Source organism: Homo sapiens, chromosome 8 (assembly GCF_000001405.40).
Source record: "Homo sapiens chromosome 8, GRCh38.p14 Primary Assembly".
In the NCBI taxonomy this organism is placed as follows: Eukaryota; Metazoa; Chordata; class Mammalia; order Primates; family Hominidae; genus Homo; species Homo sapiens.
This window is the reverse complement of record NC_000008.11, coordinates 144,258,501-144,284,791: the sequence shown is the minus strand read 5'-3', so window position 1 is coordinate 144,284,791 and position 26,291 is coordinate 144,258,501. Positions and strand designations below refer to the sequence as shown.

Genomic DNA, 26,291 nt, shown 5'->3' with positions numbered 1-26,291 from the left:
CCTCCTTTCTAAGGACTGTGTAGAATTACGTGGCATTCAGTGAGCAGCTGCACGTGGTGTTCTAGGGCACCTTTGGATGCTCAGGTGCTCCTGAGGGGTGTGCCAGGGAACGAGTCTCCTACCCTTCCCTCCTGGCTCCTGTTGCTGCATCCAGGCAACTACTGTTTCCAGTGCTGAAGTCTCTTTCCAGGATGTTCTAGACATATCCAAACTCGCACAGAGTTTTTGAATGGTGGTTTCTTAAGAGAAGGGGCAGCCGTGCGCTGTCTCAGGATGGTTCTGTCAGGGAGGCCATGGCTCTGGTTTGTACAGTGCTTGGTGCCCGTAGAGTGCCTGGCAGCTCGGCCTCAACAGCTCCAGTGGGTGGGCAGTTGCAGGCTTTTGCTCTTACAGTTGACCTGACAGTAACATGCTGTTTCTCACATGTGCACACCATTCTTGGGGAAAATTCCAAGAGAATTTCTAGGTCAAAGGATAAATGCTTTTTTTTGTTTGAGACAGGGTCTCACTCTGTCACTCAGGCTGGAGGGCAGTGGTGCGATGTTGGCTCACCAAAATCTCAACTTCCTGGGCTCAAGGGATCCTCCTACCTCAGCCTCCCTGGTAGCTGGGACTACAGGGTCCCCGCCACCATGCCTGGCTAGTTTTGTTTTGTTTTGTTTTGTTTTGTTTTTTGAGACAGAGTCTCGCTCTGTCGCCCAGGCTGGAGTACGGTGGTGCAATCTCGGCTCACTGCAACCTCCACCTCCTGGGTTCAAGTGATTCTCCCGCCTCAGCCTCCTGAGTAGCCGGGATTACAGGCGCCCGTCATCACGCCCGGCTAATGTCTGTATTTTTAGGAGAGACGGGTTTCACCATGTTGGCTGAGCTGGTCTCGAACTCCTGACCTCAGGTAATCCACCTGTCTTGGCCTCCTGAAGTGCTGGGATGACAGGCGTGAGCCGCCGCACCTGGCCATCAATGCATTTAATTGTGAAGGTGCTTGGAGCGTCCCTCCGCTAGGCGGTGATGCCATGCACTACTGCAGCCGCCCCTCAGCTGCTTTCCCACCACCAGCCTCCCTCATGGTGTTGCTGCTTCATCTTTTCCTCTTGTTTAGTGATGTTTTTCTTTCATTAAGAATGAGGCTCGCACAGCTGGGCTTAACTGAAAAAATAAAAATAAAAAGAATGAGTCACAGGCTGGGCCCAGTGGCTCACACCTGTAATCCCAGCACTTTGGGAGGCCAAGGCAGGTGGATCTCTTGAGCCCAGGAGTTCAAGACCAGCCTGTGCCATATAATGAGACCCCATTTTTACAGAAAATTTAAAAAATGAGCCAGGCATGGCGGTGCGTGCCCGTGGTCCCAGTCCCGGAAGCCCTTCTGTCTCTTCCCTGTGGCGGCATCATCCATGCACTTAGCTGGCTGGAAACCCTCATGGCTGTTGCCCAAGGGCAGGACAGCTAGCTGGTTCTTGTCATTTTGGTCTGAGCTCCCTGGGCCAGGAGCCCTTTGCTGTTTTCTCTCTGTTTGTTTGTTTTGTTATCTGGCACCACAACAAACTGCCCCAAACCATGGAGCCTTTCTTTTTTTTTTTTTTTTTTTTTTTTGAGATGGAGTTTTTTTGCTCTTATCGCCCAGGCTGGAGTGCAGTGGCACAATCTCGGCTCACTGCAACTTCTGCCTCCTGGGTTCAAGCGATTCTCGTGCCTCAACCTCCTGAGTAGCTGGGATTACAGATGCCAGCCACCACGCTCGGGTAATTTTTTTTTTTTTTGTATTTTTAGTAGAGAGGGAGTGTCACCATGTTGGCCAGGCTGGTCTTGAACTCCTGACCTCAGGTAATCCACCTGCCTTGGCCTCCCAAAGTGCTGGGATTACAGGCGTGAGCCACCGCACCTGGCCACCATAGTGCCTTTCAACAACGAGCATTTGCTGTCTGTGTTTCTGGGGTCAGGAGTCCTGGTGTTTTGTGAGGTGCACTCAAGGAGCAGGGTCTGGCTGTGCCCTTTGCAGCTCCTCCCCTGACTGTTGGCATGAGGAGCTCAGGAGTGAAGGTGAAGAAGGGTACTCTGTGTCTGGGGGGTGGTCAGAGGATAGGGATGAGGACAGGGACAGGGCCCAAGAAGATGGGGTGGGTGCTGTACCTCCCCCTTCCTTCCCTGGGGTATCTGTGGGCCACGGCAGGGCCCACAGCTGTTGCTAGTAGCCTCCTTGGGGCCAGTGGGTTTGATTTATTTTTGTGTTTGTGTGGTTTGAGGGCAGGCATCCCTTCCCCACCCTTTGCGTCCCTGCTACAGTGACCCCTCTTTCTGGGTCCACCTGCTCTGGCACGAGCTTGGTGGGCCAGCCTCACCCCAGGGCCCACCCCATCTCCAGCCTCCCTGCCTTGGGCCTGGCAGTCCTGCCTCTTAATTGCGTTCTGTGCCACCTGATGACCCACGAGTTCTGTCTCCTGGCCTGGTTCCTACTCCCTGGGACTTTCTGCAGCCCCTGCCCTTCCAGCTGTTGACTGTGTCTGCGAGCCATCCCACTGGAGGGGCGCCCTGGGCTGTGTGCTCCCTGCCCTGCAGCACCCCTGACACGGGTGCTCCCAGCCCTCCACTGACCAGCCAGGGAGGAAGCTGCCTCCTGCCGGCCTGTGCCTCGCTTCCTGTCCCCTCTCCAGCAGCACACGGCAGCGCGGGCCGCGGGCTCACCGGAGCGAGGACTGGTTGCAGGGCCTTCTCTTTATCGCTGGTGTCTAGTGGATCTGTGGGGTCCGTGCGCTCAGAGCTGTTTTTTCCTTTCTGTGCTCATTTAGATTCATTTTTTTCCCAGCTTTGCTTGGTTTTGTCTTTTCATTTATGTGAGTTTTTCTTTTTATTATTTTGTGCAGAAGTTTCTGTTTTTATCAGTTAATCTGCTTGTCACAGTCAAGAATGTGAGAAAAGACTGGATGCGGTGAGCCAAACCTGTAATCCCAGCACTTTGGGAGGCCAAGGTGGGCGGATCACTTGAGGAGTTCGAGACCAGCCCGGCCAACATGGTGAAACCTCATGTGAATTGCTTGAGCCTGGGAGGCGGAAGTTAGAGTAAGCTGAGATCATGCCACTGCCTCCATCCTGGGTGACAGAGTGAGTGGGACTCTGTCTTGAAAGAAAAAAGCACTAGTAAGAGAAGGCCTAAGACCTAGTATTAAAGTAAGAGAAGGCCTAAGACCTGGTATTAAAGTGAGAGAAGGCCAAAGACCTGGTATGAAAGTGAGGGAAGGCCGAAGACCTGGTATTAAACTGAGGGAAGGCCGAAGACCTGGTATTAAACTGAGGGAAGGCCAAAGACCTGGTATGAAAGTGAGAGAAGGCCGAAGACCTGGTATTAAACTGAGAGAAGGCCAAAGACCTGGTATGAAAGTGAGAGAAGGCCGAAGACCTGGTATTAAACTGAGGGAAGGCCGAAGACCTGGTATTAAACTGAGGGAAGGCCGAAGACCTGGTATTAAACTGAGAGAAGGCCAAAGACCTGGTATGAAAGTGAGGGAAGGCCGAAGACCTGGTATTAAACTGAGGGAAGGCCGAAGACCTGGTATTAAACTGAGGGAAGGCCGAAGACCTGGTATTAAACTGAGAGAAGGCCAAAGACCTGGTATGAAAGTGAGGGAAGGCCGAAGACCTGGTATTAAACTGAGAGAAGGCCTAAGACCTGGTATTAAACTGAGAGAAGGCCGAAGACCTGGTATTAAAGTGAGAGAAGGCCGAAGACCTGGTATGAAAGTGAGAGAAGGCCTAAGACCTGGTATTAAAGTGAGAGAAGGCCGAAGACCTGGTATGAAAGTGAGAGAAGGCCGAAGACCTGGTATTAAAGTGAGAGAAGGCCAAAGACCTGGTATTAAACTGAGAGAAGGCCTAAGACCTGGTATGAAAGTGAGAGAAGGCCGAAGACCTGGTATTAAAGTGATGATTCCAGATTTTTTTTTTTTTCTGAGACAAGAGTCTGTCTGTCACCCGGGCTGGAGTGCAATAGCCTGATCTCAGCTCACTGCAGTCTCCACCCCCCAGATTCAAGCAGTTCTTTCTCCTGCCTCAGCCTCCCGCTGTGATTACAGGTGAGCGCCACCAAGCCCAGCTAATTTTTTGTATTTTTAGTAGAGACAGGGTTTTCCATGTAGGCCAGTCTGGTCTCGAACTCTTAACCTCAACTGATCCGCCTGCCTCGGTCTCCCAAAGTGCTGGGATGACAGGTGTGAGCCACTGGGCCCGGCCTTCCCAGATAATTTAAGGAGAGTTTGGCCTGTGCCGGAGCATAATGCACACTCTTGGGCAGGGGATCCCGCCAGCGTCTCAGCGAAGGCTCTGGGAATGGCAGGTGGCAGGCCGCGTTGCTGCAGCGTGGGAACCCTGGGCTCGGGCCCCCTGTCGCTGTGGTTCTGGGGTCTGGGTGCTGGTGCCGTCTGCTGGAGAGTGGTCTGGAGCTGCAGCTCTGTGGAGTCTGGAAAGGGGCTGCCCAGTGATTCTCACCAGCTGGTCAGTGGTGGAGAAGTTGCCTGGGTGTGGACCACAGAGCTGGGGATGGAACCAGGGGCCAGGGCTGGTGGTAAACTCCGCTCTTGCCTCTGCCTGTGGCCTTGCTTTGGGTTCTTTTGAAGACTGCCAGCTCCAAGCTTCTTGGCCCCCATGGGGGAGTCAGGCAGCTGTTCTGCCACCTGCCCTGACACTTTGCAGCATCAAACAGATATTTTGTAGCATTCTGGATTCGAGGGGTCAGAGTTCAGGCCGAAAGCAGCAGGGTCAGTACACCCTGAGTACAGTGTCATGCTGAGGGGCCGGGGAGCCCCAGAGGGTTCTGGTACATTCCACCTGAGGAAGATCGACACTCAGCTCACATCCTGTGCTCTGGGACTTGGGTGAGGATCTCAGGTGAGCACAGCCGGGCCTCTTGTGTGTCCAGACCGCCCCTGACAGCCATGTTCACGAAGGGTACCCCTGTCCAGCTGTCCCCTCTCCCAGGGCTCAGGGCTGCAAGGACGTGGTCTCCTGTGCCAGGCAGAGCCACACGGCCTTCACGACCTCAGCCCAGAATCCTGTGGTGTCAGTGTGGGCTGCCTCCCTTGGGTGGGTAAAGCAGCCACAAGCCCACCCAGATTTGCGGCGGGGGGGACATAGACTCTGTCTCTTGATGCGATGAAAATCAAAGGTTTGTGGCCGTGTTTTAAAATGGTCACAGTCACCCTTACGCTTGCCAAATAGTCTCTTCCCCCAGCGCTCCCCAGAACCTCATTCCACTGCCAGGGTCTCATCTAAACCAGGCCTGATAGATGGGGGTCCTTGGGCCCCTCTCTGCACAGCTGTCTGCAGTGGGGCACCGAGTCACAGTGCTGTGGAGTGGTCTCTGGTCTGTGGTGGTCCTAAGGTGGCTGAGCACATGGCTGGTGGTGGTCTTGGCCATGGTGGTCTTGGCCCGTGGTGGTCTTGGGGCCTGTGGTGGTCGTGGCCCATGGTGGTTGTGGCCTGTGATCGTCAGGGCCCATGGTGGTATAGGGGACCTGTGGCAGTTGTGGCCTGTGGTGATCGTGGGGCCCATGGTGGTCTTAGGGCCTGTGGCGGTCGTGGCACGCAGTGGTCTTGGGGCCTGTCCTTGAGACCCATGATGGTCTTGAGACCCGTGGTGGTCGTGGCCTGTGGTGGTCTTGAGGCCCATGGGGGTCATGGCCCATGGCGGTCGTGGCCCGTGACGGTCATGGCCCTTGGTGGTCATGGCCCGTGGTGGTCTTGGGGCCTCTGGTGGCAGCACACATGGCCAGTGCCTCATGCAGGGTTGGCCTCCATGCCTGGGAACGACCCTGCCACTCTTGGGCTCCTGCCCCGAGTTACCTTCCTTTTCCCTGAGTAAAAAGGGATGTTTTTCGGCTGTATTTTCTCTGGGCTTTTCAGTTCCTGCTGATGTACTTTCTTTAAAACAAAATGTGGGTTTCCTAGGTACCTGTTGATGAGTCGTTGCTGTCACACGAGCCATCGGCACAGAGCTCTTGGATAGCAGCCTGTCTCTGTGCTGGGCACCCTGCGGCTAGCGTGGGCAGGGCCCTAGGGAGCCTTGGCCGTGCTGAGGTGCTGGGTGTGGGGTCTGTGGTGCAGCGCTGGGTTGTCTTGGTGTCCTTGGCACCCCGACAGCGATGTTCTGGCTCTGGTCTCTGGGCAAGTTAGGACTGCTTCCCTCCTGCTGTCCACGTCTCCAGCAGAACCCTCTTGTGGGCAGCCCTGGGAGCAGAGTTCTCTTCCCACCGAACCGGGACACCGCAGCTCTGTCGCCATCCTCTCCCAGGAGGTGAGGGCAGAGCCCGTGTCTCATGCCTGGTTGGTGGCAGTGGGGCACGGCCTGGCTGGCCTGATGCTGGGGAGGGGAGGCTCTGGTGTGGTCACAATAGGGGGCTCATGCGCTTGGACACCGTTTCTGTCTGGCTGAGCCCACTGTGGGTTTCTCCCTTTGGTCCTCATGGTGACATTCTAGCCCTGGGGCTGGGCAGAGGCCACGCAGGGTTCAGGGACTACAGCAGCCTTTCCTTGGCCCCAGCGGCCCCGCATCCTGCTGGCACCTCGTCCTTGCGCTCCCCCTCGGCGGCTCCCTGCCCACCCGTCGGTCCTTCAGACCCGCCTGCCTCTGCCCAGTGGCGCTCGCCCGCCCACTCTCTCAGCTTTTACTTCACCCTCACGCAACTCTCGTGCTCCATCGGGCCCGACCCCTCCTCAGTCAGGCCACGCACACTGCGGGTGGTGCTGGAGACCCTGGAGAATCCGGGCTGACTCCAGGCATGGGCGTGGCGGGAGGGGGTCCTGTCCCCAGGAGTCCGGAGCGTGGCGTGGGCTCATGTTCCGTTGTCTGTGTCGTTAGGGTTTTGGTGGCCTTTTCCTCTAATTTTTAAGTTAAAAAAAATACGTTCAATGCCCCACAGCATCTGCCTCCAAAATCTGAAGGGGCCTTCTAGGTCAGGCAGTTCCCAGCAGTGGCCGCCCCTGCCCGCACCGCCCCTGCCCGCACCGCCCCTGCCCTTCGGGCGCTGGGCCTGGCTGAGCGCCGTCGCCCCCTGGTGGACTCTGTGCCCCACAGCTGTCCCACGGGGATGCTGCGCCCCTGGGAACCCAGCACCTTCGAAGGCCACCTCTGCCCCCTGCCCAGAGCCTGCCTGTGCCGTGGCCTGTCCACATCCAGCACAGGGGCCACGGGGCACAGAGCGCTGGGTGACAAGTCTTTTGTCACCTGCCAGGACCCTGGGACTGCGGCCCATGAGCAGCGAGGCTGGGACTCCAGCGTGCGGTGCTTCAGCCCCGGCCACTGTGAGGGGTCGGGAGCCCAGCCCGGTACCCGTCCGCAGAGGCCAGGCGGGGGCAGCCGACCGCAGCCGGGTGTGGAACTGCCCTTGTGCGCGTCTGGGGCTTGGGGCCGGGGTCACGGATCTGCTGCGGCTGTGGGGGCTCATGTGCTCCAGGCAGGGGCAAGAGCTCCGTGTCACTGAGCGCCCCAGGCCACTGTCAGCAGCAGGGGGAGACGTGGAAACTGAATCCTTCCTTGTTCCTGGCCTGGGAAAAAACTTAGTCTCCCATCTCTCTTTATATTGAAGGAAAAAACAGGCAGGGGAGGAGCCCGGGCCGGAGAGAAGAGGGGCTCGGGGTGGGGGCGGGGGCGTGCCCGCCTTCGCTCTGGGGTTCCTGCGCCCGAGCACTTTACTGCCCCCACGGGTGAGAGGTGGGCCTGTTTTCCCCATCAGCCTTGGTTCCGCCAGTAAACCCGATCCGGTTGGAGCCATCCTCACCTCCGCAGTCGAGGGCAGAATCTGTTTTCCAGGTTGGGATGTGAATTCTCAGTGGCGCCCACTCTGTGACCCGGCGGGATGGGGTCAGCCTGGGCTGTGGACGTGGTGGGTGGGAGAACGCTGGGCAGGCCTTCTGAGTGTTCGGGGCCCTCTCTGGGCCCTCTGCTGGCTGGACTGGGCGGGACGTGGCCCCCGGGATGGGTGGACAATGTGTGTCCCCCGCCCCTTCAAGAGCATTGGCCCCAGTGACCCTGCTGCGACGGCTGCGTCTCCTTCTTCCCCCCGACCATGCTGCCCCCGTCCCAGGCGGGGCTCGGCAGGAGCGCCATGTGGGGCCCCTGGGAGGAGTCCTGTGGCTTTGACATGAATGGGGGTACGGGTGGTTGGCGGTGGGTCTTGGTCCTCAGCTGGCGGCTTTGCTCCTGACTGCCCCAGTGGCTTCCGTGTCTAGCCTGACACCCGTGTCAGCCCAGGGACAGAGGCCCCGGGAGGCTGCAGTCCAGCCCTCACAGAGGACAGGGCCGTGGGCAGGACCTGCGGCGCCGGGTGCCAGCCACAGCCCCCAGAGGCCCCCTTAGAGCTGGGTGTTCTCGGCCTTGTGCTGAGGCCTGTGCCAGGCTGGAGCTGCTCAGAGATTTCGGGGTGGTGGGCTTCCTGGGATCCCCCCAAGGTCAAAGGGTACCCTGTATCCCCTGAAGTGACCATTTTCTCTCTCTCTCTGCAGGCCAGCACTCCTTGCCCGAGGACAGAGATGGCGAGCGCCCGGATTGGGGATGAGTATGCGGAGGACAGCTCTGATGAGGAGGTAGGACTGGGGCTGCTTCCCACTGGGCAGGGTGGGGCGGCTTCCATCACAGCCTAGCAGGTGCTGGGGGTTGGGGCTGGGGTTGCCCTGGGGGTGCTGGGACCTGCCGCAGGTGGGCCGCACTGTTGGAGCCGAGGCCCACGTGGGCGTCCTGCTTCCCCATCTGCAAGAGCAATTTCGGGGTCTGGGACACAAGACTGCAATGTATGTGTGTCATCATGGCTTGTGAAGGGGAAGGACCTGGGTGTGGCTCCATGCCCCTGTGTCTGGCCTGTGGACGGGCTCTGGGGGCTCCTGTGGCGTCTGCAGGGTGGCTGTGGGCTCCCTGGGCGTGGCGTGCATGGTCTGGGTGGGGGTCATGGTCGGGGTGGGGGTCACGGGCATGGGTGGTGCCCCTGTCGTGTGTGCTGTGGGGTGGGCCACAGGTTGGCTGGGGGCCAGGCGGGCAGAACAGGGCCAGGGCCACCTCCTAATGTCCTGATGTTCTGGGCAGTGGTGGCCCTTCCCTTCCCCTGGGGTCCCCCTGCCCCCCACCCCTGGTGGTGGCTGATGTGGGCTGGGGCCGTTGCCTCTGGACCTCTGACTGAGTCCCAGGAGCACATCTCAGGAGGGGCAGGAGGTCGGCTGTTTCTCATAAGGAGCTTGCAGGCGAAGGGGGATGCGTGCTGCTGGGCTGGGCTCCACCAGCGTGGAGAGGCTGGCACCGGGCTGGGCTCCGCCAGCGTGGAGAGGCTGGCACCGGGCTGGGCTCCGCCAGCGTGGAGAGGCTGGCACCGGGCTGGGTTCCGCCGGCGTGGAGAGGCTGGCACTGGGCTGTGTCCAAGAGCAGATTTGGCTGCGGGGGGCTGCCCTCATTTGGGAGGGGCTGGAAGCTCTGAGAAGCTCTGAAGCCAGAGGCAGTGCCTGCCTATACCCTCCTCAGTGTGGCCTGGCCCCAGGGTAGGACTGTGGTCCCAGTGGAGCACCTGGGTGTGAGGCAGAGTCTCCTTTGGGCCCTGGGGGCTGTGGGGGAAGGAGAAGGCTTTGGTGTAGGGCCTTCCTGAAGGAGCTCTTCCTGCCTGCCTGTCAGGAACTGTCCCCGGGGGGCCTGGGGGAGACACGCGCCCCCCTCCCCCCAGGTTCTTCCCCCATCCTTCGGCTCTCTTGGCTGTGGCTGCAGGAGCCTTGGCCGCCCGCCCGATCCGGTCTCTGCTGCGCGTTCAGAGAACAGAGACAAAACAAAATAAATTGGTTTCCTGGCCGGAGCAGCGGGCTCACTCAGAGCGGGGGGGCCACGCCGCGCACTCCCTGCCTGTCTCCCCTCCCCCTCCCAGGGGCTCTGGCTGTCGGCAGCCACATCCTGTCGGCTACTTTTTTATATTTGGTATTTTGAGAAATCGATGATGATTGTAAACGGAGCGCGGAGGCCGGGGGAGGGGCCTCGGCGGGGCCTGTGGGACCCTGCTGCCCCTGGGGGTGCTTTGCCAGGCCTGTCCAGTGCCACCGCCGCCTGCCGGGTGGGCAGCCCCCTGCTGTGCTGGGAGGAAGCCGGCCAGGGATGTGGGGGCTGCTTCCTCCAGTGATGACTATCCCATATGTTGGTCTGAGTGACAGCGAGGGAGCCCGGGTGCTGCCCGGTGCTCCTGCCAGCACAGCCGGCCAGTGGCTCGAGGGGGCGGCAGAGCTCAGCTTTCAGGAGCCAGGCCAGGCCCGGACAGATGCCTCCCGTCCAGAGAAGTGCGCATCTGCCTGGGCCTCTGTTCCCTTGGAGCAAAGTGGGGTGGCCCTAGGGGAGTGATTTGGGGCCACAGGTGGGCAGGAAAGAGGCTTGGGAGGTGGGAGACAGCCTGCAGCTCTCCCATGAGACAGTGGGGTGAGGAGAGCAGGGCCCGTCAGGCAGCCCCGTGTCCTTGGAGGTGGCCGTGGCACCAGGACCATGGTCCTCCTCGGCACTGGGCAGAGCTGGCTGAGAGAGGGCCGACCTCACTGCCGGGGCCCTTCAGGGCTGTGGAGAGGGCCCCTGGTAGCAGGGCAGGGAGGGCGCCGCTGGGGCGTGTGCTCCTGCGAGCGGCGATCTCAGCTGGAGCGCGTGGGTGGCAGTGGCTGTGATGCTGAGAAGGTCTCGGGCCAAGCTCCTGCTGGTGGGAGGTGCCTCCCTGCCACCCCCTGCCCACCTACCTCCCCTTCTCCTCAGGCCACTTCCCTGCCCTTCCTGGGTCTGGATCCAGGGCCTGGACCTGGATGACACTGGGGCTTCAGGGACCCCCTGCTGGACGCTGACTTTTGAAGACCTGAGCAGCCCCTCACAGGAGAGCTGTACTCCAGCTCTTGGTGTCTTATTCCCCTCCCCCAGGTGCGCAGGCAGCAGCGAGCAGGCGGAGGGAGGCGGGCGGAGCCCCTGGAGGAGGCGCTGGGCCTGGCTGGGGTCCTGCCGCCGGCAGTGGGGGGCCCCCAGGAGCCGGCTGAGCTGCGGCTGCCCCGCCCCCGCATGGCCACCTCACCCCTCTCCCACCGCGCCTGGAGCTTCACAGACGTGATCTCATCCAGCCGCTGGGACCCCCGGGGAGGTGGGCCGGGGTGGAGGGGCGGGGCAAGGGGGCTCTCGGCCTTTGCCGAAGCAGCCCCTCCGCTTTGATTTGAGCGGTTGGGAGAAACTGAGGCCGGGTGGCTGCTCAGGCAGAGGATGCAGCCACCCACCCTCCCCCTGCCTGTGGCCGTGTTTGTCAGGAAAGCGTAGCAGGCTGAGGGATCTGGGTGGCCGTCCACTCTGGCCGGAGGAGCCGCCCTCTGCTGTCCCTTTCCTGTGCCCCGTGGTGCTGGCCTGGGGCCGTCCCCCACGAGGCCTCCACTGGAGTCTGGAGTCTGGGGCTGGGGTGCAGCCTGGCAGCTCCTCGGTGCCCCTGACCCTGCCTGGGCTGTGAGTCAGGTTCCCGCAGGGATGCAGCCGGGCCTGTCTGCGTCCAGAGCCCGTGGTCCCCTCTGCTCTCGCGCCAAGCGCCGTTAATGGCTTCTCCCAGCTACTGAACCGGCAGCTGCCTCCAGTGCTGGCGGCCTCCGCTCCTCCGGGCCGCCCCCGCCCCCGCGTCCTGGCCCCGCGCACTCAGGCTTGCGTCGCTGCTGGCGGCGCGGCCTCGGCTCAGGTTTCCCGGCGAGCGAACGGCCCTCCCCACGCTGCTTGTGGAGGGCGCCCGGGCCTGCAGACCGCCCCAATCTCCCTGGCGGCCATCCACCCCCGCGGCCGCCTGCATGCCTGCCTCCGAGGGGGCTGCTGACTGGGCTGGGGCTGGCCCTCGGGTCTGGTCCCTTTCCACTGAGGAGGGAAACGGGCGCGCCCTGCTACCCAGGCTGTGGGTGGGTGTGTGTAGCCTGACTGCCGCGTGCCCCTTGGCCGGCTTGAAGGCCCTCCTAGGCCTGGCCTGCTGCACTCAGTTGTCCGGTTTGGGAGAGGAGAGACCCTGGGGTCAGTGATGAGGGGCAGGGAAGCCAGGGCCCTCATGGGGGTACCCTGGGCTCTCGGATGAAGCAGGGCTGGGCAGTGGCTGGTAGGTGGGAGTGGCCTCTTCAGAGCCGCGTCCTCCTGCTTGTGGGCTGCAAGGGTGGTGGGGGCCCTGGCCTGCTGTGCCCACTCGGGGCCAGTGTCCTTGGCAGCTGGAACCCGGGTGGGCAGCGGGGGGTGCTCTACAGGGCTCTTGAGCGGAGGCTTTGCCCTGGGGCTGGCAGAGCAGCCTGTGGAGTGGAGCCGGGGAAGGCATTGGAGGGCAAGGTCTGTTGGGCAGGTGGTGACGGCTGCAGGCTCTGGGCCCTCTGGGGAGGCCGGCTGGGGAGAGCTGGGTCTGGGTGTACGTCCCAAGGCCGGGGCTGTTCTGCAGGGGACGGGAGTCCCAGGTACGTGTGTGTGCACGGATCAGGACTGGGGGAAAAGTCTCCAGAATGAGATTTTGGAGGTGTCCGGAGTTGGGGGCTGAGCGGGTGTGGACCTCTAGAGCCCTGTCCCCACCCCACCTGGAAGTTGTAGCTCTGAGTTGTGGGGCTCAGAGCAGGCCGAGGAGGGGTGAGCACTGGTGGGTGTCGGTGGGGGGTGTTTGGGGTGTCATGCCCCAAGCCTGTGCCCCACCCCTAGCATCCTGGTTTCTGGGAGCCCCTGCTTATGAGATGCCAGGCGTTGGGGTGCTCTGCCTGGGAACAGCTATTGTCCCTGGGTCAGCCCCAGCAGAGACCGAGGCAGGCCAGGTCTGGAGGAACCCCTGGGTCGGTAGTGGCTTCTCTCCAGCCTGCAGACCCCCAGGAGGTGACTTGCTGCCCTCCCAGCTGTGGAGGTGCAAGGACCCCTGGGTCAGTAGTGGCTTCTCTCCAGTGGTGGAGGTGCCGGGAGAAGGCCGAGCTGTGTGCCCAGCCTCTAGAAGGGCAGATGCGTGGTTGGCGGGAGCCGGGCCGGAGCTGAGGGCGTCTGGGCTGGTGGCTCCTCCTGCCTGGGGCCCCACCTTGGGCTGGGGGTTCGCTCAGCTGGTTTGGACTTTGAGGAGGAGGAGACTAAGCAGGACCTGGCTTTCTCCCCTCTGGCCCCGGCGCCAGGGCCCAGCACCCCTGCTGGAACCTTCAGTAGGGTGAGATGCAGCAGGTGAGCCTCCCGCCCTGGCCTTGCCCTGAGCACTTCAACAGATAAAACCCTGAGGAAGAGGAGGCGGCCTCACGTCGCACAGGAAGGCCGTGTGGCGCTCCGAGACAGGCGGGCGTTTTGTGCAGGGGAGCGGCGCGAACGCTGAACACTACCCGCATTGTAATCGGAGAGGGGCTGGGGAAGAGAGAGACGGAGCGAGGGCGGCTGACCCCACGCTCCCGGGGGACAGGTGGGAGAGGCGGAACGAGGAGAGAGTGAAGGATTCCAGAGGTGGGCCGGCTTCCTCTCTCGCAGACAGACACGGGAGGAGGCGGGCAGCGGGCCAGCCCCATACCTGCAGTTCCAATCTGTGGTCCTGACAGCTGCAGCCACTTTGGGGAGGGGGAGGGAAGGGGGCTCATCGAGAGCGGAAAAATCCCAGCCGACACATCAGCCGGTTGCGGCCTGTGTCCGGTGCAGTCTGGGCTGGGGGCCTGTCCTTGGGGCTGGGCGGCCCCCAGGAGAGCCCTGATGCTGGGTCTGTGTGTGCCCCCGGCCGGCCGGCCGGGGCTCTCCGTGCGGGGCCTGACCCGGAGGGGTCACATGTGTTTCCTGGCAGCCCGCAGGTGCTGCGCTGGGCGGGGCGGGTGGTGGGCGCAGGCGACCGTGATGAATCATGTGTCCCGCCAGCAGCTCGTTCCCCAGGCCGGGGACAGGAGCTGACAGCTGAGGCCCAGCAGAGCGTTTCCAGCCCAGCTCGGCTCGCAGGGGCGGCTGCTGGCCCAGGGTGCAGGCTGGGGCCCCTTCCGTCCCAGCTGCCTCTGTGGGGCACAGGCGGAGGGAGCCCTGGGTCTCTGTGGAGGTGAGGCCAGCACTCTGGGAAGGGAGCCAGGGGCTGTGGTGGGCAGGGAGCACCTGCCACTCGTCTGCCCGGCGGCTGTGAGCTACGAGTGGATTCGGGTGGGCTGCCGCAGGCCTGGGGGTCAGCCCACGCCACCCCCGGTCTGGTTTGAATTTCTGGAGCAGTGGAGGGTGACGGAGTGTTCCTCCCCCGCCCCTCCCCTCTTGCTGGCTGGCGGGCCGGGCCCTCGGCCGCTGCTACCGGTGCAGCTCAGGGAGCGGCTGGGCTGGCTGCCCAGGCCTGAGGCTGGCCAAGCTGCAGCCGCGGTCGGAGTCAGGCCCGCAGCGGAGGGCTTGGCTGTGAGTGCTGCACCCCAACCAGCAGGGCCCTGGGGATCCTTTCAGCTCCGAGGCCTCCAGGTCGTTGTTCCCTGTTCACTTTCTTCTAGCCTCGTTAGACACCCCAAACTCTGACCCCAGTCCACGGGGGCTCTGACGTCTCTTTCCCCTGCACTCCCTCTTGACCCTGCCCAGACCTCCCCATGCTGGCCCGCACCTTCCCACCTGCTCCTGTCTGGCCTCCTGCATTCCCGCTCTGAGCTGGCTCTGCCCTGTCCTTGGTGCCGGCCGCCGACGCCCCGCACCTGCCCGCTCAGGCCAGCAGCCCCTGATGTCCCTGCCCTGGAGACTTTCACTATCTTCCATCCCATTTGTCCCCAACGTTGACCGGCCACTGAGGTTGGGGGTTCATGTGGAGGTTTGCAACCCCCACTAGGCCCAGGTCTGGAAATGGGAGGCCTGGAGGTGAGGGGTAGGTGGGCTATGGACCCTCCCTACAGAACTACACCCAGTGCCCAGTGGAGGGAGGGCTGGCGTGGGCGCCGTGGGCCTTAGGGTGCTATGCAGAGTGCCCGGCCTGGCCATGCTCCTGGGTCCACCCTGCTCCTCACTCACCAGCGCCTTGGTGCCTGGGAGGGTGGCGGGGCGGGGGTGTGAGGAAAGCTCCCAAGAAGGGAAGGGGCTGCGTCAGCCCCTAGCTGCATGTCCGTGTCCCCCGGGCCCTGGCTTCCCGGCGGGCGGAGGCTTCTGCAGTGACTGAGCTTGTCCTCTCCTCCCCTCCCTCTGGCCAGCTGTGGGCTCCTGCAGGATTAGGGAGAGGAAATTTGGGGTTGGGTTTCTCTCTGAACGAAACCTGCCGTTGTGACTTTTTATCCTGTTATATTTCTATCAGATTGGACTCAGCCCCCCTCTAGCCCTTAATGGCTCTGGCTTTGAGAATTTCCTCCAAAATTACACCACTGCTTCCTGCTCCGCCATTCCCTGGAGCCTGTCTTTGCAGAGGAGGGGCAGTCCTGGGCCAGCCCTGCACCGATGCCCACGTGGGCCACAGCACCTGGTCTCCCCCCGAGGGTGCGTCCCTGCCTGTGCTAGCGGGGAACTGGGGCCGGCCGCCGCCCTGACGCCCGCACCTGGCACCATCAGCCATTGTCCACCCAGCCGGAAGTTAGGCTGTGGCCTGGCAGGGTTGGGGGGAGGTGGTCCACACAGCACCGCCCTTCTTCTCTCTGTGCCCACTGATCTCACACCACTCAATGGTAATTGTCACCTGCAGGGTTTTAATGGCCAGCCAGCTGTGCACAGAGCACTGTGGGGGCTAAACCCACCTCCTGTGGTGGGCGGGGTCTTCAGGGGGCTGGATGGGCCGTGGTGGTGGGAGGAGGATGGCCAGGGGTCCTCCTTCCCACGTGGGCAGTGCTTCCAGGGGCCAAGTGGCACTGGTGCATGAGGAGATGCCCCTCTCTCCAGTCAAGGCTCGTGGAGGCAGGACACCCACTGCCCTCGCTGGGGCTGGGAGCCCCCCCCTCCGCTGGGCAGCACAGCTCGCTCCACTCCTTGTGGCCACCTGCAGCGCCCTCCTCACCCTCAGGGCCCCCGGGTGCCCGACAGGCCCGAGTCGGGGGCACCCTTGCCCTGCTGCTGCCTCTGTCCCTGCCGCTGCCTCCCTGTCCCTGCCTTACAGCGTCCCTGCCTTGTGCCTCGCCCTCCCCATCTTCTGCCACGCAGCTCCTCCCCCACCCTCTCTCCCGGCGTGGCTCCCTTGTCCCCACCCCACAGCTTCCCGATATGAGGCTCTGTGGGTGAGCTAAGCCCATCCTCACCGCCTCAGCCCAGGGAGGGGTGGCCCTGAGCCTGGAAAGTGGGGGCTTCCCAGGGAGCCGGGGTACTTGGCCCAAGGAGGATGGGACCACCAAGGGTGGGAATGGAGGCTCAGGCTGGGGGCTGGGGGTGGATTCTGAACCTTTCATGAGGACAGTTGGCCTCCATATTTGGAAGATACTGTTTTGTTTTTAATTATACAAAATTTTCAGACTTTATATTATCATATCAAAAACACAAGATGCCATCACACAGTGGCCGGAAGAAAAGCCAGCGCAGAAAGTTCCAGTGGGCCCGGGCAGGTGCTGGGGCCAGCGCAGAGTCCCGCTGCCGGCGCCTGTCTGTACGTCCGTCTGTCCCTCGGCCCCGCTCGCAGCCAGGGCTGGCCTGGGGGCATGCTTGCGGTGGGCCTTGCCCAGCTCAGGTCCAAGGTGGGGGCTGTCTGCAGTCACCCCGGGCGTCCACCTCCCCCAGCAGCGTCTGCCTCCTGGCTGCTGCCGGCCACCTCCTAACTGCGAATCGCTGTCTTTCTGTCGCGGTCCTTGCTCTGCAGAGGGGAGGGAGGAGTGTCAGGCCCCGGCAGAGCCCAGCGCCAGTCTGCGCCTCTCTGGCCTCCCTGCTGGGTGCCATCTCAGGTGGCCAGCGCCAAGGCACCTCCTTCCCGGCTCTCCCCAGCTTCCCTCAAGCGTTTTGGGGAGGGGAGCATACTGCTGCACAGCCGAAATTGTAAAATTAAATTTCCCAGATGTTCAGGCCCCAGGAGCTCGCGCGTGCTGTCTGGAGAGGAAATGGGGATTGGGAAAAGCCGTGCCGTATTTTCTCCCTGCTCACCCTGCTTTTCCGGTGCCACCAAGCACAGCAGGAGCTGTAAATCACAGCTGGCCAGCGTCTCCTGCAGGGGCCCTCACCCCCAGCCCCCACATCTCCTGCCAGCCTCTGCCTTCGTGTCCCATGGCCCACGTCTCGGGCAGCCCTACAGGACCTGGTGTCTTGGTGTGCGGCCTAGGTGGGGGACGGACAGCAGGTGCCCAAGATGGCTTAAGCCAGTGCTGGGCCGCAGGGGCTAAGAACCCGGGGTCCTTCCTCTCTTGCCTTGCAGCCTCTTACTTTCTGAACTCAGCTGTTTTCACTCCGCCTTTCAACTTACTGAAAAGGGAAGCTTGCAGCGGCCTGGTCCAGCTCCCCAGCCTCCCCGCCCTGGGTGGGCCCCTTTGGCCATCCCTAGCTCTTACCCCTCATGCAGCTCCCTGCAGGGGACTCCACACTCCACTGGGAGCCGAGTGTCCTAGGGACGCCCTGGAGAGGAGCCCCAGGAGAAGGCCCCAGCCCCCGGCAGGCCTGTGTTACAGGTGTGCCTGCCTGTGCCCTGTTGGGGAGCCCTGCCCGTGTGGCCTCGCCTCCTCTGCCTGGCAGGTGTGGGCTGAGGGGCGCGTTGGAGGCCCCCCTCGGCGCCCCACGGCCCGTGCTCACCAACTTTCTCTGGTTGCTGAGGCAGAAGGTGCAGATCTGTTTGGGCTGGGTGTTCTCGCCGTCGCGGGCGGGAGGCGGCGGGGGCGGCGGCGGGGGGCTGCCGGCGCGCGCCGCGTGGAAGAAGGCGGGCCCGGAGTGGCAGGGCTGTCCGTCGCCGCAGGCCTCGCCCGCCAGCAGCACGTTGCCCAGGTGCGAGATGTAGCTGGAGGCCAGGCGCAGCGTCTCAATCTTGGAGAGCTTGCGGTCGGCGGGCTCGGTGGGGATCAGCGTGCGCAGCGCCGTGAAGGCCGTGTTCACGCTGTTGGTGCGGTCTCGCTCGCGCGCGTTCGCCGTGTGCCGCTGCCGGGGCTCACGGCCTGGCCGGCCCCCTGGCCCCCCGCCCCCGGCCCGCCGGCCCCCCGCCCTCCGCCGGGCGCCCTGGAGGCCGCAGCGCGCCGCGTGCACGCGACAGGGTTTCTCGTCGGAGCCCGAGCTGTCGCTGCCGCGGTCCTCGTCCTCCGACAGCGGGCTCACCTCGGGGTACAGGTAGCGGCCCGGCGGCGCCGGGCGCAGCGTGGCGAAGGACATGGGGCCGGCGGGGGCGCGGCGTCAGCTCTGTCGCGCGCTGCTCATGCCGCCTCCTGCGGCCGCCGCGGGCCTCGCGGGCCGGCCGGGGCGAGGCGCGGGGTCTCGGCTGCGCCCCGCGGTGGCAGCTGCCGGGCGTCGCGCGCACATGTGCGTCCCGGGCCGGAGCGGGGCCCCGAGCTGCGCCTTTATAGCGGCGTCCCGGCCCCTCCCCCGCGCACGCCCCGCCCCTCTCAGCCCGGAGGCTCCTCGAGCAGCGCCCGCCGCGTCCCTCGGCCTTCTGTGGCCACGCTTTGGCGGGGGTGGGGGGGGCGGGGCTGGTCTTTGGGGGCATCGTTCCGTCTCTGGGGATGCGGAGGAACTGGGAGGTCGCTTCTGGGCTGTAGTTACTCAGGGCCCCAAAACTGCAGTGCCCCCCGTCCCCGGGAGAGGGGAGGAACCCACCACCCCGTTTTCTCCCGTGGCACAACTGAGTTAACCCAGCCGCCCTGGCCCTGCTGCCTGACCGCACCCTGTCTGTCTTTGCCTCCCATGTGCGCCAGCGCCTGCCTGTGCCAGGCCGTGTGCAGGGGGCGGGCACAGGCGAGTATTTAGGGGCCTAGAGCTCAGTCTCTCCGCCTGTCTGTCCTGCACCTGCCTCTCCAGGCTTGGCACAGACTGTGCCTTCTGCTAGCTGGCCATGTCCCCTGTTCTTGTGCTGTGTGGACCTCTCACCCCGTCGGTCTCCTTGCCCCTTCCTCCTTCCCCCGTTCCTCTCCAGGGCCACCAGGCCCCTCAGGAAGCACACACATACCCCCATTATCCAATTTGGGGATGGCCCCCTATCTCCATGGGGAGGAGAGGGAAGGACCCTCAGCAGGGGGCAGGGCCCAAGGGGTCCCTCCTGCAGCAGGGGGCCCGGCAGGCTCCCAGCTGTGCTCTGTCTTGCCTGGGCCCCTCCCCGTGGCTACTGTTGCAGGAAGCAGCCTCCTGGGCAGCGGTCCCCAGGCTGGAAGGAGCGAGGGTGGCGGCTGGCAGGGGCTGCAACCAGGAATGTACGTCCAGGAACGTGGCTGTTCTGCCTGGGGAGGGGCCGAGGGCAGACGGTGGGGGGTCCCCCACAGAGAGGTCTTGGCTTCTGCCTCTCTGTGGAATGGGTCAGTTGGGGTCTTCCCCGAGTCCCCGTCTTATAGCTGCCCACTTCTGCCTAAGGCCCCTGCCAGGGGAGGGAGCCCGTGGGTGATGAGGTCATCCCTGTCTGTGGCTGCCCAGAGCCCTGGCCAAGGAATCCAGTGAGGGGGGAGCTCTGGGGTTGGCACCACTTCAGTGGAAAATGTGAAGGTGCAGCTCCGGCGCCTCCGAGGGCGGGGGTGGGGGCAGCGTGGCCGCCATGCCACGTCAGACCCCAGGGCTGGGGAACAGGCGTAGGTCAGGGCCAGTGACCTCAGGGCACTTGAGGCTGGGCCTGCACTCCCCCTGCAACCCCCTCACCTGCTCCCCTGGGCGGCCCGAAGCGGGGGTGGGCCTTGTAGGATCAGATGCCGACATGGTGGCCCCCGGCTGCAGGACATCCGGAACACGGTGGGCAACGTGCCCTTGGAGTGGTACGATGACTTCCCCCACGTGGGCTACGACCTGGATGGCAGGCGCATCTACAAGCCCCTGCGGACCCGGGATGAGCTGGACCAGTTCCTGGACAAGATGGACGATCCTGACTACTGGTGAGGGCTGGTGGGGTGGGGCCAGCAGCCGGGGTGGGCCCGAGGGGTGGGGCAGGGCTGGCGGGGTCTGACTGGCGGTCTCCAGGCGCACCGTGCAGGACCCGATGACAGGGCGGGACCTGAGACTGACGGATGAGCAGGTGGCCCTGGTGCGGCGGCTGCAGAGTGGCCAGTTTGGGGATGTGGGCTTCAACCCCTATGAGGTAGGTGGCAGGGGCTGGCCCCTGGGCGGCGGGGGTCCTGGAGGCACCAGCAGGGCCTCAGCCACTCTGGCCCACACGCCCACATCTTCTCCCCCAGCCGGCTGTCGACTTCTTCAGCGGGGACGTCATGATCCACCCGGTGACCAACCGCCCGGCCGACAAGCGCAGCTTCATCCCCTCCCTGGTGGAGAAGGAGAAGGTGGGGCACACAGCCCCTGGGGCTTGGCCTGGGCTGACCGCCCCGCACTGCCCGTCCTGACCCGGCTGTCTATGCAGGTCTCTCGCATGGTGCACGCCATCAAGATGGGCTGGATCCAGCCTCGCCGGCCCCGAGACCCCACCCCCAGCTTCTATGACCTGTGGGCCCAGGAGGACCCCAACGCCGTGCTCGGGCGCCACAAGATGCACGTACCTGCTCCCAAGCTGGCCCTGCCAGGCCACGCCGAGTCGTACAACCCACCCCCTGAATACCTGCTCAGCGAGGAGGAGGTGGGCCTGCATCCTGGGGGCCGGGACCCTGTCCCCATGCTTCCCTGTGACCCTCCCCACCCCTGTGTCTTGGTCTCCACAGCGCTTGGCGTGGGAACAGCAGGAGCCAGGCGAGAGGAAGCTGAGCTTTTTGCCACGCAAGTTCCCGAGCCTGCGGGCCGTGCCTGCCTACGGACGCTTCATCCAGGAACGCTTCGAGCGCTGCCTTGACCTGTACCTGTGCCCACGGCAGCGCAAGATGAGGGTGTGTGGGGGTGGCACACCAGGGGGGTGGCACAGGGGGCAAGGCTGACCTGGCGCTCTCCTGCCCCAGGTGAATGTAGACCCTGAGGACCTCATCCCCAAGCTGCCTCGGCCGAGGGACCTGCAGCCCTTCCCCACGTGCCAGGCCCTGGTAAGTGGAGACTAGGGGGCTGGGGTTGCACCCTCCCAGTCTGACTCCTCACTGCCGCCGCCTCCTCAGGTCTACAGGGGCCACAGTGACCTTGTCCGGTGCCTCAGTGTCTCTCCTGGGGGCCAGTGGCTGGTTTCAGGTGGGTCCGAGCTGGGGGCAGCCTTGAGCTGGGGGGCAGGTGGGATGGCCAGGTGTTGAGAGCTGTCTCTGCCGCATCCAGGCTCTGACGACGGCTCCCTGCGGCTCTGGGAGGTGGCCACTGCCCGCTGTGTGAGGACTGTTCCCGTGGGGGGCGTGGTGAAGAGTGTGGCCTGGAACCCCAGCCCCGCTGTCTGCCTGGTGGCTGCAGCCGTGTAAGTGGAGGCCCTGGGGGCTGGGGAGCCAGGGGTGGCACTGTGCTTAGGGGCCGTGTCTGGGCCTGGCTCACAGGGAGGACTCGGTGCTGCTGCTGAACCCAGCTCTGGGGGACCGGCTGGTGGCGGGCAGCACAGATCAGCTGTTGAGCGCCTTCGTCCCGCCTGAGGAGCCCCCCTTGCAGCCGGCCCGCTGGCTGGAGGCCTCAGAGGAGGAGCGCCAAGTGGGCCTGCGGCTGCGCATCTGCCACGGGAAGGTACGTGGGGCGCCTTGGGGGTGAGGCTGCAGCGGGAGGGGCCCGGCTCAGCCACTCAGCCAGCCTTGCTCTCCTGCAGCCAGTGACGCAGGTGACCTGGCACGGGCGTGGGGACTACCTGGCCGTGGTGCTGGCCACCCAAGGCCACACCCAGGTGCTGATTCACCAGCTGAGCCGTCGCCGCAGCCAGAGTCCGTTCCGCCGCAGCCACGGACAGGTGCAGCGAGTGGCCTTCCACCCTGCCCGGCCCTTCCTGTTGGTGGCGTCCCAGCGCAGCGTCCGCCTCTACCACCTGCTGCGCCAGGAGCTCACCAAGAAGCTGATGCCCAACTGCAAGTGGGTGTCCAGCCTGGCGGTGCACCCTGCAGGTGAGGGGTGGGGGCGGTGCACCCTGCAGGTGAGGGGTGGGGGGGGGGGCGGTGTACCCTGCAGGTGAGGGGTGGGGGTAGGGGCAGTGCACCCTGCAGGTGAGGGGTGTAGGTGACGGGCAGGGCAGTGCACCCTGCAGGTGAGAGCGGGAACACCTGCATCACAGCCTTTGGCCCTAGGTGACAACGTCATCTGTGGGAGCTACGATAGCAAGCTGGTGTGGTTTGACCTGGATCTTTCCACCAAGCCATACAGGATGCTGAGGTGAGGAAAGCTGGGGGTGGAGGCGGCCAGCAGAGCCCCTCCCTTCAGCCCGAGCCTGCCTTCAACCTGGTTCCCTCCCCCCAGACACCACAAGAAGGCTCTGCGGGCTGTGGCCTTCCACCCGCGGTACCCACTCTTTGCGTCAGGCTCGGACGACGGCAGTGTCATCGTCTGCCATGGCATGGTGTACAAGTGAGTGCTGACCCTGCCTGGCCCCCTCCCCAGGGCAGTGGTGTCTGGCCGTGCCCTGAGCCCTCCTCGTCCCCACAGTGACCTTCTGCAGAACCCCTTGCTGGTGCCCGTCAAGGTGCTGAAGGGACACGTGCTGACCCGAGATCTGGGAGTGCTGGACGTCATCTTCCACCCCACCCAGCCGTGGGTCTTCTCCTCGGGGGCAGACGGGACTGTCCGCCTCTTCACCTAGCTGTTCTGCCTGCCTGGGGCTGGGGTGGTCGTGCTGAAGTCAACAGAGCCTTTACCCTGTGCTGCCTGGTGCTCCCACCTTCTTGAATTGGGGTTGCCAACAAAGCCGCCCCCACCACAGCGCCGAGCCTTCCCCTCACTCAATTTTGCAAAAACAGTGGGGACAACACAGCCAGTCCAGGGCACCCTCTGGCCCATCCCCTAAGAGGCTCAGCATCGCACCCTGTCAGTCACTCGCTGGGAGCAGATGAGTTTATTGGGCACATCCCTCACTGAAGGGCTTGGGTTTGGTCCCCAGCAGTGCCTGTTCTGGGGCCAGGCCCCTCCAGTCGTGTGCCCAGGCTGTGGTCCTCAGGAGGCCCTGTCTTGGAGCTCAGGCACAGGTCTGGGTGCATACTCCTCGCTGGGGGTGCTGGCCGGAGCCTTAGGCGAGCTTCACCAGGCGGCCCAGGGCCTCAGCAGCCCTCGTCCGCACCTCGGGGGCCGGGTCCTTCAGCAGGATCTGGAGCGCTGGGGGTAGAGGAGGGGGGCTGCCTGCGGGCTGTGACCTCGGCATGCCCATGCCTGCGCGTGGGCCACGCTCTCCTGACAGCCTCTGCTGGGAGGCTCAGGAGCCAACGGAAAGATCGTTTTTCCTTTTTTAGTGTTTTTTAAGCTCTTTTGGAACAGTTAAGAAGTTTCCGTGAATTACTAGAGACGATGAGGTCACCAGTGACAGGGAAAAAGTCCTGAAATCCAGGAAAATCACTTAGTCCCTGCGGGTGCCTACAGGGTCAGCAGGGCCCAGCGGAGGGGCCCCGTGGAGGGGTGCTCACCCGCAATGAGCTGGTCCAGGTCCACCTGCGGCTGCTGCCTGGGCTCCGAGTGCAGCACCAGGAACCCTGTGAAGTGGGGGCATCAGGCGGGGCTGCCGGGCGGCGTGGGGGTGGGGCAGGGGGTGGTGCTTACCGGTGAACAGGGGTGCAGCAGCTCGGACGTTCTCCCAGCTGCTCTTGAAGTAGAACAGGCAGGTGGTCAGGAGACGGCCCAGCAGGTCTGGGAAATGGTGCATCTGGGGAGAGGCCTGGTCAGTGCCGCCTGGCCCCGCCCCACCCACCACGCCCCGCCTGGCCCCACCCCTCACCAGGTGCTTGCAGGTGGTGTTGAGGAACTCCCCGAAGTGCAGGGCTCGGCCCTCCTGCAGGTGTTTCTGGAAAGCAGCTGAGAGCTCCTCACATGCCAGATTGGGGCCACACATGCGCAGGGCAAACCTGCAGGCCTAAGGGATGCGGCACTGGGGCCAAGTCCAGTTGAGGCCACCCACCCCATCCCACTCACCCCCTGGCTACTCACGCTGGCCACGGTGGCCTGAGGGTCCTGCAGGTGCAGCAGCAGGGGCGCCAGCCCGCCCACCACCTGGTCCAGGAAGACGTCCTCACAGTCTCCGTGGCAGACCTTGTTAAGGTGCCCAAAGAGGCGGATAGATGCCGTCCGGAACTCCATCTTCTCCTGGGAAGGACATGCAGCATACGTCTCCTCACAGGCTGTGCCCCTGCAGGCCTGCCTGCCTAGCCCCCTGCCATTGATGGGTGCCCTTGCCTGACCCGGGCCAGGAAACACCCCGACGGGTGGGGGCCTTACGGGTGGGGGCTGCCAGGCCCAGCAAAGCAGCAGCCCTGCAGGTCCGCGCTCTCCACGGTCACCTAGCCGAGGTGGGAGACAGGGAGGAGGGTGGGGCTGGGGCTAAAGCTCAGAGTAAGAGGCAGGAAGGGCTGGGGCCCTCTTCCCTCCCCCTGCCCCAACCAGCCTACACTGTCGAAGAAAGGCCGGATGCGGATGGCCACGTGCAGCAGCCCTGAGCGCAGGTCCCAGGACTCCACCAGGTGCACCAGCCTCGCAAGGCCCAGCATGGCCTCCAGGGCCACTGGGCTGTGAGGGTTGTCCCCGTCGTCCAGCCCGCCAATCATGGCTGTGAGGAGCTGGGGGCCGTGGGTTCGCACCTGAGGATACCTTACACTCAGCCTGGGTCCCAGAGTCACCGTCTGCTACCCCACAAGACAGGGTGGCCTCCATGCACAGCCCCCCACCCATGCTGCCTGGGACCCAGAGGGGCTGGTGGCCACCCCACCTTGTCAGGGCAGCCGGAGGCCAGGTTGGCCAGGCCGCGGAGCACCAGCCTCCGCACGCTGGCGCATGTGTCCTTCTGGCGAGCCGCCAGGCTCTCCAGCAGCGAGTCCAAGAGCATGAGGTCGTTGGCCACGTTGCTGTTCAGCAGCTGCAGGCAGAGGTGCTGTGACTTCCCTCTCCCCGCTGACCCCAGGGCTCAACCCACCAGCCCAGGCCCAGAACACCAGAGGCTGTCCCCACGCCGGTGTGGCAGACAGAGGTGGAGCACCTACTCCCTGGGTCTCCGATCAGTGGCGACCCCTCCCTGTTGTGCCGCTGGGGCCTGCTCTGACGCCCGCTGTGCTCTGCTGCACGGCCTTGGGCAAGATTTTGGCATCTTTGGCCACGAAGGCCAAGACCACACCACCAAGGGCACCTGGGGTCCCAGGGGCCAGCCCTGTCCAGCTACAAATGTACCCAGCTGGACTTGGGGAGAGTACAGGCTGCAGGGAGCCTCGGTCCTCCTCTCACCAGGCACAGAGGGGGTGTCCCTGGGTGGGACTGAGTGAGTTCTGGCATGGGGGAGGAGGTAGCTAGCATCCACATAACCTCCCTCACAGACCACGGTCGAGGGGGCCTTTTAGGGGTAAGAAAAGGGCATCCCGTGCCTGTCCTGAGCAGGAGCCCCACCTTGGTGCCCAGCATCCGTCCCTGGAAGGGCCTACCTCGGCCAGGAAGGCGGTGGTGGTCACCCTCTGGTTCTCATACGCACTGCTGTGTGTGCATGCCAGCGTCTTCAGCACCAGGGGGAGTCGGGGCCCTGCGTGCTCAGCCATGGCCCTGGGAAAGGGGGCCGCTGAGGGTGCAGGGGCTGTTGCTGTGCTGAACCCTACCCAGGCACCTTCCACCCTGCACAGCCCTGGTCCGCTCCACCGCCAGCTGCCAGGTTCTGGGAGTTCTATGTTTCAGAGATGCCTCCCAGCTTGCCTCGCCAGGCCTCTGCAGGGGTGCCTCCCTACCCCTGCCCCAGAGAGTGAACAGGCAGGAGCCCAGGGCACCATTGGCCTGACACGCATGGGCCCCCGCCTGATCCTGTCATGTTCTGGGCTCGAGATCCGGTGGAGCCCAGCCAGTGCTGGAGCTGCAGTGGGCTGGGCCCGCTCACCTGGCCAACCTGGTGGCCCCCTCCTCATGCCCCGCCGAGGTCCTGAGCAGTTCCCAGCCTCCCTCCAGGTCCATGCGCTGTACCACATCCTCGCTGCCGCTGCGGAGTAGCATGGACCGCAGGGTGTCCACTGCAGAGCTGCAGGATTGCCAGGGTGCTCAGCTGGTAGGGCACACACGCCTACCTCCCTTCCTGATTAACTCCTCAGGTCTGCACCCAATGCGTGTTGCCCACCTGGTGGCTAGCCCTATCCCTGCCAGAGCCACTCTCCAGGAAGCAGGCTCTGGGCCATCTGCTAGAGGCCCCCCATTTCCCCACCCAAGGCAAGGACGCAGATGTTGGCTTGGAGGTGAGCTAGTAGCAAGGTCAGCCTGTGGCCACCTGGCCACCAGCCTGAGAGCTGGACACAGGCAA

The 26,291-nt window shown here is 63.9% G+C and overlaps 3 protein-coding genes and 1 non-coding gene across 39 annotated transcripts in view, besides 10 other annotated features; 2 read left to right on the top strand and 2 right to left on the bottom strand.

Annotated features, from left to right (window-relative positions):
* Window positions 1–22,747, top strand: part of BOP1 (BOP1 ribosomal biogenesis factor) — a 29,394-nt gene extending 6,647 nt beyond the window's left edge. The window contains exons 3-16 of the mRNA NM_015201.5: window positions 8,488–8,568; window positions 19,721–19,875; window positions 19,961–20,078; window positions 20,176–20,277; window positions 20,355–20,567; window positions 20,650–20,811; window positions 20,881–20,961; window positions 21,031–21,100; window positions 21,182–21,314; window positions 21,391–21,571; window positions 21,651–21,939; window positions 22,120–22,204; window positions 22,289–22,396; window positions 22,475–22,747. Of these exons, the coding sequence (NP_056016.1) occupies window positions 8,488–8,568; window positions 19,721–19,875; window positions 19,961–20,078; window positions 20,176–20,277; window positions 20,355–20,567; window positions 20,650–20,811; window positions 20,881–20,961; window positions 21,031–21,100; window positions 21,182–21,314; window positions 21,391–21,571; window positions 21,651–21,939; window positions 22,120–22,204; window positions 22,289–22,396; window positions 22,475–22,628 (1,932 nt within the window). The 3' untranslated portion in view covers window positions 22,629–22,747. The remainder of the gene's footprint in view (window positions 1–8,487; window positions 8,569–19,720; window positions 19,876–19,960; window positions 20,079–20,175; window positions 20,278–20,354; window positions 20,568–20,649; window positions 20,812–20,880; window positions 20,962–21,030; window positions 21,101–21,181; window positions 21,315–21,390; window positions 21,572–21,650; window positions 21,940–22,119; window positions 22,205–22,288; window positions 22,397–22,474) is intronic.
* Window positions 6,935–6,984: a silencer, noted in NCBI's record as "silent region_19669". NCBI's record gives its function as "represses an Ori minimal core promoter by ATAC-STARR-seq in GM12878 lymphoblastoid cells {active_cell/tissue: GM12878}" and the evidence as "EXISTENCE:reporter gene assay evidence [ECO:0000049][PMID:35858748]".
* Window positions 9,283–9,925: an enhancer, noted in NCBI's record as "H3K27ac-H3K4me1 hESC enhancer chr8:145498855-145499497 (GRCh37/hg19 assembly coordinates)". NCBI's record gives its function as "activates a minimal SCP1, AML or CMV promoter by ChIP-STARR-seq in primed H9 embryonic stem cells {active_cell/tissue: H9 hESC(primed)}" and the evidence as "EXISTENCE:reporter gene assay evidence [ECO:0000049][PMID:30033119]".
* Window positions 9,918–10,047: a silencer, noted in NCBI's record as "silent region_19668". NCBI's record gives its function as "represses an Ori minimal core promoter by ATAC-STARR-seq in GM12878 lymphoblastoid cells {active_cell/tissue: GM12878}" and the evidence as "EXISTENCE:reporter gene assay evidence [ECO:0000049][PMID:35858748]".
* Window positions 12,504–13,147: an enhancer, noted in NCBI's record as "H3K27ac-H3K4me1 hESC enhancer chr8:145495633-145496276 (GRCh37/hg19 assembly coordinates)". NCBI's record gives its function as "activates a minimal SCP1, AML or CMV promoter by ChIP-STARR-seq in naive and primed H9 embryonic stem cells {active_cell/tissue: H9 hESC(naive and primed)}" and the evidence as "EXISTENCE:reporter gene assay evidence [ECO:0000049][PMID:30033119]".
* Window positions 13,148–13,791: an enhancer, noted in NCBI's record as "H3K27ac-H3K4me1 hESC enhancer chr8:145494989-145495632 (GRCh37/hg19 assembly coordinates)". NCBI's record gives its function as "activates a minimal SCP1, AML or CMV promoter by ChIP-STARR-seq in naive H9 embryonic stem cells {active_cell/tissue: H9 hESC(naive)}" and the evidence as "EXISTENCE:reporter gene assay evidence [ECO:0000049][PMID:30033119]".
* Window positions 13,148–13,855: a biological region, named in NCBI's record as "H3K27ac-H3K4me1 hESC enhancer GRCh37_chr8:145494989-145495632".
* Window positions 13,686–13,855: a silencer, noted in NCBI's record as "silent region_19667". NCBI's record gives its function as "represses an Ori minimal core promoter by ATAC-STARR-seq in GM12878 lymphoblastoid cells {active_cell/tissue: GM12878}" and the evidence as "EXISTENCE:reporter gene assay evidence [ECO:0000049][PMID:35858748]".
* Window positions 16,311–18,339, bottom strand: SCX (scleraxis bHLH transcription factor). Its single transcript, NM_001080514.3, has 2 exons — window positions 17,612–18,339; window positions 16,311–16,688 (listed from the first exon to the last, which is right to left on the bottom strand). The coding sequence occupies exons 1-2, from the start codon at window positions 18,176–18,178 to the stop codon at window positions 16,650–16,652; spliced, it is 606 nt and encodes a 201-aa protein (NP_001073983.1). The 5' UTR covers window positions 18,179–18,339; the 3' UTR covers window positions 16,311–16,649.
* Window positions 16,437–17,202: an enhancer, noted in NCBI's record as "H3K4me1 hESC enhancer chr8:145322493-145323258 (GRCh37/hg19 assembly coordinates)". NCBI's record gives its function as "activates a minimal SCP1, AML or CMV promoter by ChIP-STARR-seq in naive H9 embryonic stem cells {active_cell/tissue: H9 hESC(naive)}" and the evidence as "EXISTENCE:reporter gene assay evidence [ECO:0000049][PMID:30033119]".
* Window positions 17,203–17,970: an enhancer, noted in NCBI's record as "H3K4me1 hESC enhancer chr8:145321725-145322492 (GRCh37/hg19 assembly coordinates)". NCBI's record gives its function as "activates a minimal SCP1, AML or CMV promoter by ChIP-STARR-seq in primed H9 embryonic stem cells {active_cell/tissue: H9 hESC(primed)}" and the evidence as "EXISTENCE:reporter gene assay evidence [ECO:0000049][PMID:30033119]".
* Window positions 18,216–18,405: a silencer, noted in NCBI's record as "silent region_19666". NCBI's record gives its function as "represses an Ori minimal core promoter by ATAC-STARR-seq in GM12878 lymphoblastoid cells {active_cell/tissue: GM12878}" and the evidence as "EXISTENCE:reporter gene assay evidence [ECO:0000049][PMID:35858748]".
* MIR7112 (microRNA 7112) lies at window positions 22,055–22,119 on the top strand. Its single transcript, NR_107057.1, has one exon. It is a non-coding gene; the product is annotated as a microRNA 7112 (primary transcript).
* A 118-nt stretch (window positions 22,748–22,865) lies between the features above and the next one.
* MROH1 (maestro heat like repeat family member 1) overlaps window positions 22,866–26,291 on the bottom strand; it is a 113,911-nt gene continuing 110,485 nt past the window's right edge. For 12 of the 36 annotated variants that reach the window (XM_047422170.1, XM_047422176.1, XM_047422172.1 and 9 more), the window contains 10 exons: window positions 25,878–26,015; window positions 25,438–25,552; window positions 24,735–24,881; window positions 24,418–24,606; window positions 24,248–24,309; window positions 23,960–24,115; window positions 23,751–23,877; window positions 23,576–23,678; window positions 23,443–23,508; window positions 22,866–23,137 (listed from right to left, as the gene is read on the bottom strand). In XM_047422170.1, coding sequence (XP_047278126.1) covers window positions 23,052–23,137; window positions 23,443–23,508; window positions 23,576–23,678; window positions 23,751–23,877; window positions 23,960–24,115; window positions 24,248–24,309; window positions 24,418–24,606; window positions 24,735–24,881; window positions 25,438–25,552; window positions 25,878–26,015 — 1,189 coding nt within the window. In that variant the 3' untranslated portion in view covers window positions 22,866–23,051. Of the gene's footprint in view, window positions 23,138–23,442; window positions 23,679–23,750; window positions 23,886–23,959; window positions 24,116–24,247; window positions 24,310–24,417; window positions 24,607–24,734; window positions 24,882–25,437; window positions 25,569–25,877; window positions 26,016–26,291 lie in introns of those variants that run through there. The other 24 variants (NM_032450.3, XM_047422182.1, XM_047422185.1 and 21 more) reach the window with 6 other exon arrangements.